This window comes from Homo sapiens, chromosome 4 (assembly GCF_000001405.40).
Source record: "Homo sapiens chromosome 4, GRCh38.p14 Primary Assembly".
NCBI classification, from domain to species: Eukaryota; Metazoa; Chordata; class Mammalia; order Primates; family Hominidae; genus Homo; species Homo sapiens.
The window spans coordinates 66108512-66124978 of NC_000004.12; the positions used below are offsets into that span (position 1 = coordinate 66108512).

The 16467-nt window shown below is 35.1% G+C and overlaps 1 long non-coding RNA gene across 1 annotated transcript in view, besides 1 other annotated feature; it reads left to right on the plus strand.

The window, feature by feature from the left end:
* LOC105377261 (uncharacterized) overlaps positions 1–16467 on the plus strand; it is a 148733-nt gene that overhangs the window by 105311 nt on the left and 26955 nt on the right. The window contains exon 3 of the long non-coding RNA XR_007058453.1: positions 13845–13917. This is a non-coding gene — a long non-coding RNA (uncharacterized LOC105377261). The remainder of the gene's footprint in view (positions 1–13844; positions 13918–16467) is intronic.
* Positions 15251–16137: an enhancer, noted in NCBI's record as "VISTA enhancer hs840". NCBI's record gives its function as "enhancer in: forebrain[10/10]" and the evidence as "EXISTENCE:transgenic organism evidence [ECO:0001131][PMID:17130149]".

Below are 16467 nucleotides of genomic sequence, written 5' to 3' on the forward strand. Positions count from 1 at the left end.
TGTAAGCATAAATATAAACGTAAATGATCTAGCTGGTAATTTGGGAAACTATTTTTGTTTTGTCTTCTGATAATTTATGCAGATTTAAAAAGACATCACCTGCCCAGATGTTTTCAACGTGTAAAAAAAGAGAAAACTGGCATTTCTAGGGCATGTTTAATCTTATCATTGACTGTTTTCTTTAAAATTAATATTGTAACTAAATTCTACTGTTCCTATGTTAGGCTCACTTACTTTATACTTCTATTCATTTCTTGTCTGGCCTATATTCAGATTTTTCAAATAATTTATAGAATTGTTATTTTATTTTACTAATTTGCTATGTATACATTATTATTTTTAAAGTTATTTTAGATATTAAAACATTTAATTTTTACTCATTGTCACTTAATATACATTATTATTTTTATTAATTTTGATAAAAAGAGAACAATATACTCCATTTTCTCCTTCTCTTATTTTGAGTCATTGTTCCAAATAGTTTTAAAGCCACAAAAGTACTATTATTTTTTACCTTTACTTACTTTCTCACTATTCATTTATATATTCTCTTTTTATTTTCTTTCTCATTCTTCCTGCAGTTCTGTTTGTTTCCATTTGGGGTCATTTTTCTTCAGTCTTAACTTCCTTTTGATTCATTTAATTTCAGGTTATCTTGTAGCAAATGCTGTTAGATTTTTGTCTGAAACACTTTATTATTGTAGCTTCAATTTTAAGAATATTTCCTTGGGCATAGAATTCTAGATAGGTATTTATTTCCTTTTATTATTTAAAGAATACCATTCCATTGTCATTAGGGCCATAATTTGTATAGAACAAATTTCTGGTGACTTAAAATTACTCCTCTGAAATTAATGTACAACGTTTTCTGGCTACTTTTAAGATTTTCTGTCTCTTTTTTCTAATTTCATTTTAGGAGGGATCAGATGATTTTTTTTTTTTTTTTTTAGTTGGAGTTTCATTCTTGTCACCCAGGTTCAAGTGCAATGGCTCGATCTTGGCTCACTGCAACTTACGCCTCAAGGGTTCAATTGATTTGCCTGCCTCAGCCTCCCGAGTAGCTGGGATTATAGGTGCCCTCCACCATGCCCAGCTAATTTTTGTATTTTTAGTAGAAACGGGGTAGCACCATGTTGGCCAGGCTGGTCTCGAACTCCTGACCTCAGGCAATCCACCCACCTCAGCCTCCCAAAGTATTGGGACTACAGGCGTGAGCCACCACACCCCACCCAGGTGATACTTTTACAGATTTGTTACACGGGTAAATTGTGTGTCACTGAGCCTTGATGTGTGAAGGATCCCATCACCAAGGTAGTGAGCATAGTATCTGATAGGTAGCTTTCCAACCCACACCATCCTCATATCCTCCTCCTTCAAGCAGTCCCCAGTGTCTTGTATCCATCTTTGTGGTGTCCATGTATATTTAATGGCTTCTCCATTAGTTCACTTAGGATAATAGCCTCCAGCTGCATCCATGTTGCTGCAGAGAACATGATTTTATTCATTTTTCTGGCTGCATACTATTCCATTGTGAATATGTACCACATTATTTTCAGTCCACAGTTGATGGCTATATTCGTTGATATCCCTTTGGTATTTTGATTAGTGCTGTGATGAAGATATGATTACATGTGTCTGTTTGGTAGAACAATTTATTTTCCTTTGGGTATATACACAATATTGGGATTGCTGCGTTGAATTGTAGTTCTGTTTTAAGTTCTTTGAGAAATCTTCAAACTCCTTTTCACAGCAGCTAAACTAATTTACATTCCTACCAGCAGCATATAAAGTATTCCTTCTTCTCTGTAACCTTGCCAATATCTGTTGTTTTCTGACTGTTTAATAATAGCCATTCTCTGGCCATATGCAGAAATCAGAAACTGGACCCCTTCCTTGCACTTTGTACAAAAATTAACTCAAGATGGATTAAACACTTAAATGTAAGACCTAAAACAATAAAAACCCTAGAAGAAAATGTAGGCAATACCATTAAGGACATAGGCATGGGCAAAGACTTCATGACTAAAACACTAAAAACAATGGCAGCAAAAGCCAAAATAGACAAATGGGATCTAATTAAACTAAAGAGCTTCTGCACAGCAAAAGAGACTATCATCAGAGTGAACAGGCAACCAACAGAATGGGAGAAAATTTTTGCAAGCTACCCATCTGACAAAGGTCTAATAGCCAGAATCTATAAGGAACTTAAACAAATTTACAAGAAAAAAAAAAAAAAAGTGGACAAAGGATATGAATAGACACCACTCAAAAGAAGACATTTATGCAGCCAACAAACACAAATAAAATCTCATCATCACTGGTCATTAGAGAAATGCAAAAATCAAAACCATAATTAGATAACACCTCACTCCAGTTAGAATGGCAATTATTTGACCTGCCCTAAAAGAGCTCCTGAAGGAAGTACTAAACATGGAAAGGAACAACCGGTAACAGCCACTGCAAAAACATGCCAAATTGTAAAGACCATCAAGGCTAGGAAGAAACTGCCTCAACTAACGAGCAAAATAACCAGCTAACATCATAATGACAGATCAAATTCACACATAACAATACTAACCTTAAATGTAAATGGGCTAAATGCTCCAATTAAAAGACACAGACTGGAGAATTGGATTAAGAGTCAAGACCCATCAGTGTGCTGTATTCAGGAAACCCATTTCACGTGCAGAGACACAAATAGGCTCAAAATAAAGGGATGGAGGAAGATCTACCAAGCAAATGGAAAACAAAAAAAGGCAGGGGTTGCAATCCTAGTCTCTGATAAAACAGACTTTAAACCAACAAAGATCAAAAGAGACAAAGAAGGCCATTACATAATGGTAAAGAGATCAATTCAACAAGAAGAGCTAACTATCCTAAATATATATGCACCCAATACAGGAGCGCCCAGATTCATAAAGCAAGTCCTTAGTGACCTACAAAGAGACTTAGACTCCCACACAATAATAATGGGAGACTTTAACACCCCACTGTCAACATTAGACAGATCAACGAGTCAGAAAGTTAACAAGGATATCCAGGAATTGAACTCAGCTCTGCACCAAGCGGACCTAAGAGACATCTACAGAACTCTCCACCCCAAATCAACAGAATATACGTTCTTTTCAGCACCACACCACATCTATTCCAAAATTGACCACATACTTGGAAGTAAAGCATTCCTCAGCAAATGTAAAAGAATAGAAATTATAACAAACTGTCTCTCGGACCACAGTGCGATCAAACTAGAACTCAGGATTAAGAATCTCACTCAAAACTGCTCAACTACATGGAAACTGAACAACCTGCTCCTGAACGACTACTGGGTACATAACAAAATGAAGGCAGAAATAAAGATGCTCTTTGAAACCAACGAGAACAAAGACACAACATACCAGAATCTCTGGGACACATTCAAAGCAGTGTGTAGAGGGAAATTTATAGCACTAAATGCCCACAAGAGAAAGCAGGAAAGATCTAAAATTGACACCCTAACATCACAATTAAAAGAACTAGAGAAGCAAGAGCAAACACATTCAAAAGCTAGCAGAAGGCAAGAAATAACTAAGATCAGAGCAGAACTGAAGGAAATAGAGACACAAAAACCCTTCAAAAAATCAATGAATCCAGGAGCTGGTTTTTTGAAAAGATCAACAAAATTGATAGACCACTAGCAAGAATAATAAATAAGAAAAGAGAGAAGAATCAAATAGTCACAATAAGAAATGACAAAGGGGATATCACCACCGATCCCACAGATATACAAACTACCATCAGAGAATACTACAAACACCTCTACGCAAATAAACTAGAAAATCTAGAAGAAATGCATAAATTCCTCCACACATACACTCTCCCAAGACTAAACCAGGAAGAAACTGAATCTCTGAATAGACCAATAACAGGCTCTGAAATTGAGGCAATAATTAATAGCTTACCAACCAAAAAAAGTCCAGGATCAGATGGATTCACAGCTGAATTCCACCAGAGGCACAACGAGGAGCTGTTACCATTCCTTCTGAAACTATTCCAATCAATAGAAAAAGAGGGAATCCTCCTTAACTCATTTTATGAGGCCAGCATCATCCTGATACCAAAGCCTGGCAGAGACATAACAAAAAAAGAGAATTTTAGATCAATATCCTTGATGAACATTGATGCAAAAATCTTCAATAAAATACTGGCAAACTGAATCCAGCAACACATCAAAAAGCTTATCCGCCATGATCAAGTGGGCTTCATCCCTGGGAGGCAACGCTGGTTCAACATATGCAAATCAATAAACGTAATCCAGCATATAAACACAACCAATGACAAAAACCACATGATTATCTCAATCGATGCAGAAAAGGCCTTTGACAAAATTCAGCAACTCTTCATGCTAAAAACTCTCAATAAATTAGGTATTGATGGGATGTATCTCAAAATAATAAGAGCTATCTATGACAGACCCACAGCCAATATCATACTGAATGAACAAAAACTGGAGGCATTCCCTTTGAAAACTGGCACAAGACAGGGATGCCATCTCTCACCACTCCTATTCAACATAGTGTTGGAAGTTCTGGCCAGGGCAATCAGGCAGGAGAAGGAAATAAAGGGTATTCAATTAGGAAAAGAGGAAGTCAAATTGTCCCTGTTTGCAGATGACATGATTGTATATCTAGAAAACCCCATCGTCTCAGCCCCAAATCTCCTTAAGCTGATAAGCAACTTCAGCAAAGTCTCAGGATTCAAAATCAATGTGCAAAAATAACAAGCATTCTTATACACCAATAACAGACAGAGAGCCAAATCATGAGTGAACCCATTCACAATTGCTTCAAAGAGAATAAAATACCTAGGAATCCAATTTACAAGGGATGTGAAGGACCTCTTCAAGGAGAACTACAAACCACTGCTCAATGAAGTAAAAGAGGATACAAACAAATGGAAGAACATTCCATGCTCATGGGCAGGAAGAATCAATATCATGAAAATGGCCATACTGCCCAAGGTAATTTATGGATTCAATGCCATCCCCATCAAGCTACCAATGGCTTTCTTCACAGAATTGGAAAAAACTACTTTAAAGTTCATATGGAACCAAAAAAGAGCCTGCATTGCCAAGTCAATCCTAAGCCAAAAGAACAAAGCTGGAGGCATCACGCTACCTGACTGCAAACTATACTACAAGGCTATAGTAACCAAAACAGCATGGTACTGGTACCAAAACAGAGATATAGACCAATGGAACAGGAAAGAGCCCTCAGAAATAATGCCACATATCTACAACTATCTGATCTTTGAAAAACCTAACAAAAGCAAGCAATGGGGAAAGGATTCCCTATTTAATAAATGGTCCTGGGAAAACTGGCTAGCCATATGTAGAAAGCTGAAACTGGATCATTTCCTTACACCTTATACAAAAATTAATTCAAGATGGATTAAAGACTTAAATGTTAGACCTAAAACCATAAAAACCCTAGAAGAAAACCTAGGCAATACCATTCAGGACATAGGCATGGGCAAGGACTTCATGTCTAAAACACCAAAAGCAATGGCAACAAAAGTCAAAATTGACAAATGGGATCTAATTAAACTAAAGAGCTTCTGCACAGCAAAAGAAACTACCATCAGAGTGAACAGGCAACCTACAGAATGGGAGAAAATTTTTGCAACCTACTCATCTGACAAAGGGCTAATAATCCAGAATCTACAATGAACTCAAACAAATTTACAAGAAAAAATCAAACAACCCCATCAAAAAGTTGGCAAAGGATATGAACAGACACTTCTCAAAAGAAGACATTTATGCAGCCAAAAAACACATGAAAAAATGCTCATCATCACTGGCCATCAGAGAAATGCAAATCAAAACCACAATGAGATATCATCTCACACCAGTTAGAATGGCGATCATTAAAAAGTCAGGAAACAACAGGTGCTGGAGAGGATGTGGAGAAATAGGAACACTTTTACACTGTAGGTGGGACTGTAAACTAGTTCAACCATTGTGGAAGTCAGTGTGGCAATTCCTCAGGGATCTAGAACTAGAAATACCATTTGACCCAGCCATCCCATTACTGGGTATATACCCAAAGGATTATAAATCATACTGCTATAAAGACACATGCACACGTATGTTTATTGCGGCACTATTCACAATAGCAAAGACTTGGAACCAACCCAAATGTCCAACAATGATAGACTGGATTAAGAAAATGTGGCACATATACACCATGGAATACTATGCAGCCATAAAAAAGGATGAGTTCATGTCCTTTGTAGGGACATGGATGAAGATGGAAACCATCATTCTCAGCAAACTATTGCAAGGTCAAAAAACCAAACACCACATGTTCTCACTCATAGGTGGGAACTGAGCAATGAGAACGCATGGACACAGGAAGGGGAACGTCACACACTGGGGCCAGTTGTGGGGTTGGGGGAGGGGTGAGAGATCGCATTAGGAGATATACCTAATGCTAAATGACGAGTTAATGGGTGCAGCACACCAACATGGCACATGTATACATATGTAACAAACCTGCACGTTGTGCACATGTACCCTAAAACTTAAAGTATAATAATAATAACATTTTTTTAAAAAAAAGAAAAGAAAGTATTGACTGCCAATGGCTCACAACTGTCCCTTTTCTAGGGAATCTATATTTTTTGGAAGAGAACAGCAGTTTTAATGTTTCTATCTTGGACTGTGAGCTGGAAACCATGTATTAAGGGTAGTATACAATAAAGTAGAAGGAAGCTCTTAAAAAAAAAGTCAGGAAACAACAAATGCTGGCAAGGCTGTGGAGAAATAGGAATGCTCTTACACTGTTGGTGGGAATGTAAATTAGTTCAAACATTGTGGATGACAGTGTGGCAATTCCTCAAGGATCTAGAACCAGAAATACCATTTGACCCAGCAATCCTATTAATGGGTATATACACAAAGGATTACAAATCATTCTACTATAAAGACACATGCACATGGTATGTGTATTGCAACACTATTTACAATAGCAAAGACTTGGAGCCAACCCAAATGCCCATCAATGATAGACTGGATAAAGAAAATGTGGCACATACACAACATGGAATACTAAGCAGATGTAAAAAAGAATGAATTCATGTACTCTGCAGGGACATGGAAATGCTGGAAGCCATCATCCTCAGCAAACTAACACAGGAACAGAAAACCATACACCACATATTCTCACTTATAAGTGGGAGTTGAACAATGGGAACACATGGATACAGGGAGGCAAACATCACACACTGGGGCCTGTTTGGGGGGTGGGAGGAAAGAGGAGGGAGAGCATTAAGACAAGTACCTAATGGACATGGGGCTTAAAACCTAGATGACAGGTTGATAGGTTCAGCAAACAACCATGGTACATGTATACCTATGTAACAAACCTGCACATTCTGCACATGTATCCCAGAACTTAAAGTAAGAAATAATAATAGCCATTCTGATTAGTGTGAGATGATATATCATTGTTTTGATTTGCATTTATCTAATGATTAGTGATTAGTGGTGTTGAGCAGTCTTTTTTGTTTGTTTGTTTTTTGTTTTGAGACAGGGTCTCTCTCTTTCATCCAGGCTGGAGTGCTTTAGTGTGATCATGGCTCACCACAGCCTCCATCTCCTGGGCTAAAGCAATCCTCCCACCTTAGCCTCCTAAGTAGCTGACACTAGAGGAGTGCACCACCATACCTGGCTAATTTTAAAATTTTATTTACAGAAATGGGGTTTCCTTATGTTGCCATGCTGATCTCAAACTCCTGAGGTCAAAGGATCCTCCTGCCTCAGCTTCCCAAATTGCTGGGATTATAGGTAGAAGCCACCATGCCTGCCATATGTTTTCTTTTGAGAAGTGTCTGTTCACGTTCAAGATTCTGGATATTAGCCCATTATGTAGATTGTGTGTTTACTCTGTTGACTTTTTTTTCCTGGGCAGAAGCTCTTTAATTTAATTAGGTCCCACCTGTCAATTTTTGTTTTTGTTGCAAATGATTTTGAGGACTTAGTCATAAATTATTTTCCAAAACCAATGTCCAATACATCCTTGATTCTTAGTAGTCTTACTATTGTATTTCTAGGTGTTGCTTTGCTTGAGGGTTGCAAAACTTTTTGGATATGTAACCTGAGGTCTTGAATCAACGTTTTGAATCTTTTCGCCTTTCTTTTTTTTTTTTTTTAACTCTATTTTATCCCTGTATTCCGTTGCCCTCCTAGCACCTCTACTGAAATTATGTTAGACCTTTTCACAATGTCCCATCTATCTTTAAGTTGTTTATATGTTTGTCATTTTTTTCCATGTATTTAAGTGTGGATATACTCTTTAAATACATTCTATTTGTTTATTTTCCAGTTTACTAATCGTGTATTCTGCTGTTGCTAATGTTTCATTAAATCCATATAATAATTCTTAATGTCAAATACTATATTTTTAAATTTTAGAATGTCACCTTTTTACAGACCTTAACAATCTCATAAAATTCTCCATCTTTTAATTAATTATACCATTTTGTTCTTTATTTGTTTATACAAATATTTTGGCCTTATTCTTTTATGTCACATGTAATAATGGTTTTATTGAATACAACATTATGTATTAAAATACAGATGCTCTAGTTAATGACATCTTTTTCCAGAGTGTAGGAAAATGTGATGGTAGCTAATTACCTTAAATCAATAAAATTCTATGTTCAATAGGGGCTAGAATATTTCTCTGGTAAGACTTAGTCTACTTTTTGTTTACTCATGCCAGTCCTTTCTTTTTTTATTTTTTTTTTATTTTATATATATATATTTTTATTATACTTTAAGTTCTAGGTTACATGTGCACAAGGTGTAGGTTTGTTACATATGTATACATGTGCCATGTTGGTGTGCTGCACCCATGAACTCATCATTTACATTAGGTATATCTCCTAATGCTATCCTTCCCCCCTCCCCCCACCCCATAACAGGCCCCAGTATGTGATGTTCCCCTTCCTGTGTCCAAGTGTTCTCATTGTTCAGTTCCCACCTATGAGTGAGAACATGCGGTGTTTGGTTTTTTTATCCTTGCGATAGTTTGCTGAGAATGATGGTTTCCAGCTTCATCCATGTCCCTACAAAGGACATGAACTCATCATTGTTTATGGCTGCATAGTATTCCACGGTGTATATGTGCCACATCTTCTTAATCCAGTCTATCCTTGTTGGACATTTGGGTTGATTCCAAGTCTTTGCTATTGTGAATAGTGCCACAATAAACATACGTGTGCATGTGTCTTTATAGCAGCATGATTTATAATCCTTTGGGTATATACCCAGTAACAGGATTGGCTGGGTCAAATGGTATTTCTAGTTCTAGATCCCTGAGGAATCGCCACACTGTCTTCCATAATAGTTGAACTAGTTTACAGTCCCACCTACAGTGTAAAAGTGTTCCTATTTCTCCACATGCTCTCCAGCACCTGCTGTTCCCTGAGTTTTTAATGATCGCCATTCTAACTGGTGTGAGATGATATCTCATTGTGGTTTTGATTTGCATTTCTCTGATGGCCAGTGATGATGATCATTTTTTCAATAAAATACTGGCAAACCGAATCCAGCAGCACATCAAAAAGCTTATCCACCATGATCAAGTGGGCTTCATCCCTGGGATGCAAGGCTGGTTCAACATATGCAAATCAATAAATGTAATCCAGCATATAAACAGAATCAAAGACAAAAACCACATGATTATCTCAATCGATGCAGAAAAGGCCTTGACAAAATTCAACAGCCCTTCATGCTAAAAACTCTCAATAAATTAGGTATTGATGGGACGTATCTCAAAACAATAAGAGCTATTTTTTTTTAATAGAGAGCCTGATAATTTCACTGCAATTCTTTGTTCCAGGGAAAGGTAAGAAGGAGCCAACTATCTACTCGTTGCCTCCCAGGGATTTAGAAAATTATGCTCTACTTTTAGAAGAGCTTACTCAGGTGTATAGATTTTTATTTTCCCCATAATAAAAGTAAAATTGGGATAGTTGATTACATCAGCTAAATCAGAAACTTGTATTTATAAAAGTTTGGGTGACAGTTCTTGAAAGACTCTCATTCACGTGTAAAAATAGGCCAGTTCCTATTGAGTTAAATTTGGCAATATAACACAAAATTACTTAGGCAATATGATTTGACCCAGAAATGCAACTTTTAAAAACTTACCCTGAAGATATATTTCAAACACAAAGTAATATATATGCAGATGACTATTCTTTGCTTGTAGATGAAAGTGTTTTAAAGTAAAAAATAATAGAAACTACCTAAATTTCCAATATAAGATTTTTTTATTTTATGATACATACACCAAATGTAGTACTATTAAGGTGTAAGAGAATGAAGAAAGTCTATGGACCAATATGGAATAACTTCAGGTGATATTATTCAATGAAAAGATATAAGGACAAAAATGCATATAAAGAATGCTACTTTTTATGTAGGTAAGAAAAAACAGGAAAATGGAAAGTTGCATGCAAGTAGATAATGGGATGGGAAGGATATGTCAGAGACTCTATATATTTGTATAACTATATTTTTCGTAATTATATATTTTCCTGTAGTTTTTGGCTTTTGGAAGTTGTTAATGTATACATATTCCAATATATCAACAATAATGGGAAGATAAAGTAAAACTGAAAACAGTTATCAAACTGAAAGAAATAAATGAATTTCAAATGACTAACATGGCCACTTTGAAAAAACAAAAACAAAAGAAGCAAGGCAATCCAAGAACACAGAATTTTACTGTATGCCCTCATTTCTGAGTAGGATAAATTTGGTGGGGGAGTAATGAAAACGTTTCCTGAATTCTTTTCAGTGAACTTATATTTGGTAGTGATATGGTTGAATCCACTTAAAAATAAATTTATTTGTATTGTAGATTGAGAAAATGAGTAAATGTAATGAGATTTGGGGAGCCACAGTCCTCACTACAGAATATATGATACACAATATAGAAGGGGAAACATAAGAATAAGTCTCTGAGAAGACGTGTTGGAATTGAGTTTAATATCAGTTTGATACTATGTATATGTATTTTTGCGCATATATATGCATATGTATAAACAAACAAACTTTCTATTTCTGTCCACAAAGTGAACTTAGGAAGAAAGACAATCCAGTACCAATGGGCATAACTGGAACTCCAATCTTAGTTTCTCATAATAGAATTTGTCACTTTCCCCTAAAAAGAACCAGAGCTATTTCTTGAAATGGCTGATTCTAGGCTGGGACAGAATAGACAAAAGATCATCCTGGGATATCTTGTTATAGCAGAAAGTGAGGAAGTACTCTAAAGGCTGATGGAGACTGTCGCAGTGCATGGGATGTAGCCTGAAGGAGCTCTAAATAGCCAAAAATAAGACGATTTGAATACCAAAATAATGAAAGACATTAAGAGAGCACAGACCAATGAAAAACTAGAAACCCATGAGTCCATATTGGATATTAAACAAACAAAAAATGAGGAGAAGGGAGAACTCTTGCTTACAGTAGATTTGTGAAGGCCAATTTACAGAAGGAGTTCTGGACATGGAGAATCAACATTGCTGTAAAAACTGGTTCAGGTAAAAAGCAAAGGCTTATAAATAAAGAAAGGAATTTGATGAGAAGTAGGCTTAGGGAGATCTCTCTACATATTTCTTATTTGCCAGAGAAAAAAATTGCAGCTATACAGACAACACCTTGACTGAGTGATTAAAATTAATATTATTAGTAAAAGGCAGATGAACATAGTGTCTCTCCAGATGTGATAACCTGAGGAGGACTTAAGAGATCATATCTGTAATATCCTTGCCAGGAATTCACAACCTGTCGGCAAGCAAGAGAAAATACAAGACAAAATAAAAATGCAGAAGGTTCTATGAAAAAAAAAAATAAGGTGGTGTGGAAATTGTACTTTTTTTAAAAAAAAGTGGCCATGATAAAAAAGACATGATAAAACTGTGGAAATATTTCAAATTGAAGGAGACTAAAAGTTACAATAACTAAGTTTAATACTTGATCTTGGATTGGACCAAGTAAACTGATGTAGAAAAAAACACTATAAGCAAGGTATTGTATAAATTGGAATATGGACAATAAATTACACAGAAATATAATATTAATATTAAAATTGCTGAAGTTAATAAATGTATATGATTATGCTAGTGATCATTCTTATTCTTAGGTATACACTTTGAAATATTTGAGGAATAAAATGCTATGATATATGCAGCTTAATCTCAAATGGTCCAGAAAAGTATTGCAGATAGATATTGAAAAAACAGATACAAATATTCATAAACATTGTGTAAAGTGTTTTGATGGTTAATATTATATGTCAGCCTGCTTAGTGTATGGTGACTGTGTGGTGAAAGACTAGCAGCACAGATGTTGCTCTGAAAGTCTTTTGTTACTGTGATTAACATTTCAATCAGTAGAAATTAAACTAAAGCAGATTATCCTCCATAAAGTGGGTGAGCTTTAATAAATTAATTAAAAGCCTTAAGGGCAAAGATCAAGACTTCTTGAAGTTAAAAAAAATCTGAGTCAAGATTGAAACATAAGAACTCTGCCTCAGTTTCCAGCCTGCTGGCCTTCCTTGTGGATTTCAGAGTTGCTAACCTCTACAATTGTGTGAGCCAGTTCCTTAGAATAAGTACCACTTTCTCTCTCTCTCTCTTTCTCTCACTCTTACTCTGTCTCTCACTTGTAGCTCATCTCTGTTTGCATATATATACATGCACATTCATTCTGGTTCTCTAAAAATCCCTAATATAATAGTATGTATATTTACTATATACTATTATTATCCTTGAAACTTTTCTGTATGTTTGAAGATATTTCCATACAAATATTTTTAAATAATATAACTGTTGCATTTTAAACAATCACATTTACATATTAGCTTGTTCAAATCTATTTATATGTCTATATGTGTATGTATGCATACATGTTTGCATGTATATATATTCACATATTATATACATGCACGCACTATATATATATTTTGTCATGCTGAAATAAATATTTTCTCTGTGTTTTAAATTTAATTTTTATTTTTTAACTTTTATTTTAATTTCAGGGGTATATGTGCAGGTTTGTTATATAGGTAAACTTATGTCATGAGTTTGTTGTACAGATTATTCATCATCCAGGTACGAAGGCTAATATTTATTAGTTGTTTTTCCTGGTCCTCTTTCTCCTCCCACCCTCCACCCTCTGATAGGCCTCAGTGTGTATTGTTCCCCTGTATGTGTCCGTGTGTTCTCATAATTTAGTTTCCACTTATAAGTGAGAACATGAGGTATTTGGTTTTCTGTTCCTGCATTAGTTTGCTGTGTTCTTAGCATTTTGATAGTCGCATGGAAGAAAATGCAAATGAGTTCTGAAATGCAAAAAAAAGTATTTGTAGGCAAACTAGATCAGGAAAGTGATCAAAGAGAATGTTTCTTTAAATATTCAAAAATCTATAAATAAACTTAAAATTATTGAAAGCCTTTAATTAACAGATTCCTATAGTACATCAGTGAGAAACGAGTTTTCAGTAAGATCATTTTATCTATCTTTTTATCTATCTGTCTATATTTTTCAATCTATCTTTACTACTTTCCATATGTAGTAAAGGGTACTCTATAAACAAACAAGCCAGTGTGAACTCTAACATAGAAATTTATACTTTTAGACAGAAAGGTTTTTCATTTAAAATTTAAAGGTAAATTCTACAGCTTACCAATTAAATACCTGTAGCATATTTTAACACTCTTGGACTCCTATACACAACTATTTTTAACAACTTTGCCTGCTTAACATAATGGTTCTATTTTTTCTTCTCTAGGAATCTAGTTTGTTCCCAAGTTACCATATCTCAGAGGCATATAATGCTGTCCAATTCTCTTGAAAACAAAAATGTAAGTAGTTATAGCTCTTGGCAATTTATTGTACCAGTAATTACTCATCTTCTTATCTTTCCAGCTTGTATTTTTTTTTAAACAACACACACTTAGTCAAAGACTCCATCAATTCATCCACTATCAGATCCGAAACACCATTCTTGTGTGTGAAGTTGTATTCATTCATTTTCCACCCTATTATCTAAATAAATAAAGGCTTCATAAATAAGGTTCATAATGCCTTATTAGGTATTTGGTTTGTTTTCAACTACTGGTAAAGCTATACATGAAAACAACAATAATAGCAGGCCAAATAATACAAATGCCATAACTGATGTCCAAGGGAAGTGGAAACACAGAAAAGAAAAAACAATTCAAGCTGAGTGATGAAGAAACGCTAAACGAATGAGTTGGCTTAAATTAAACAAGTGAAATATAACTAACGTATCTGGATGGAAAGATAAATTTCTTAGTTTATAAATGTATTTTGTCTGATTGCTTTATTTACACTATCTCCTAATTAACTCCCCGTGTTAACTTGGGGCAACCCCTGTTCAATTAGTGAACTGTTTTATAAATTAATAGTTTTAATGTGGCCATTTGAATTTTATATATATAATATATATATGGATGTTATATATTGATATACACATATATTCATATTTAAATAATTTCAAACCATATAATTATATATATAACACATATATTTTTAAAAAACAAGACTGTGTTTGTTACCAGATTCCTTGGTACATCACACAATATTCAATAGCATGTAATTCAGGATTTTAGTAAATGACAGTACTGTCTGTGATCAATATTTGCCAGTATTAATTGGAGCAATGTATAGAATTCATGAAGATGAATAATTGATATCTGATATTTTCTTGAGGAAAAGTTCCTAGGAAACTTTTACAAAAGAAGAATATATCAATGTTCTTAAAGTTGAATATGACTCATGGTACAGACATGTGAAGGATGAGACATGACAACACAGACATATCCAGCATGCATCATTTTCTGTGCATTATCTAATGTTTGCCTCAGAGAAGAGATCCATGATAATTAATTCTTATTTTTATTCTATATTAAGATTGCAAAATAAATAAATGTATTTTTAAACCTGGATTTAGAACACCTTGTTCAAATGCTTTGATCAATGGATAAACCAAAAACCTGAGAAATAAAGGCATGTGACTAAAGACCTTTAATGGTAGAGCAAGCCCCTGGTCCTGTGATTTTTGGTTGGCATGCTTTTTATCTCCATTGCATTCCTAGAAATACCTTTAACTCAAGAACAATTTAATAAAAAGGGGATTCTTCCATATCAGTAATGAAACAAAAGTTTTCTAAGGTAGACTTTTCCCGGTGTTTTCATCTACATAAGGTGGCATGCTTGTTTTCTGATTACTCCCATGATCCCAATGCCTTGTCCATCCCTGGGGACAAATCAAAGAAGAAAAATAGAAGGTCATCTTTGGGTCACTGCTATTCAGTTTGCTGTGCCAAGCTGAAAACCAAGGCCATTAAATATGAAAATCCACTCATTGTCTCAGGCTTGATTGTATCCTGTCTTTCAGATCAGACTCACCATAGTCATAGCAACCCTAATAGGCGGATGTGCATTGGACCACATCATTTGCAGGGTGTCTTTAACTGAGAAAAGTTTTGTTGAAAATATGTGTGATTAATGCCTTCAACTATTATCTCTCATTGAACAGACATGAAAGGGGGCTACTTTGTGAGCCCAGATAAGCCTATTGCATGGCCATTAATGGCATATTCAGCCCTTGCTGAATTAATCTATTATTGCCTCTTGTCTTTGGTAACCATAACATGTTGTTGGAAGGCTGTGCAAAATTTGAGTAACTGAACCACAGCTCCAGTAATCCTTTAGACCTGGGTGTAAGAGAAGAGTGAAAAGCTGTTTAGTGACTAATTGAGTGTGCTGTGCTGTTTCATTAGTATTAAGCAGTGGTTCTTTATTTTAATCTGTTTATATCAGAGTGATATATCACCTTAACATCATCAGTTACTCAGCAAGCTTCACACAGTTCCTCTATCCATAAATATAACTAAAATAAAAGATCAATAGAAAGGCTTAAATCTTGTGTATGTGTGTGTGTTTGCGTGTGTGTGTTTGTGTGTGTGTGTGTGACAGAGAGAGAGAGAGAGAGAGAGAGAGAGAGAGAACCAGAGAAACAGAGAGAGACATAGCACTCAAAGCACAAACAACCAAAACTTTATCAGAAATATGAAGCTGACATTAGGTCAACGTTTATATAAATCATGTAGAATATGGCTCATGGGCAATACAGATACTGAAGAGCAAATCTTGATCTATTGTCCTGCATCAATTCAGGTAGAGTGAACACATTGGCAAGATTGAACATGGAAAAATTTGGGTTATGATTAGGTGGGCAGAGAGATTTTTACCTTTTCAAGACTGAAAAGGTAACTGTGTCTAAAACATATTATTTTGTATAAGTAAGAGCAAATTCTACTTTGCAAATCAATCAGTTATTTGAAGAAGGTATTACATAACAAATGGCATTTATGATAATTTGACCT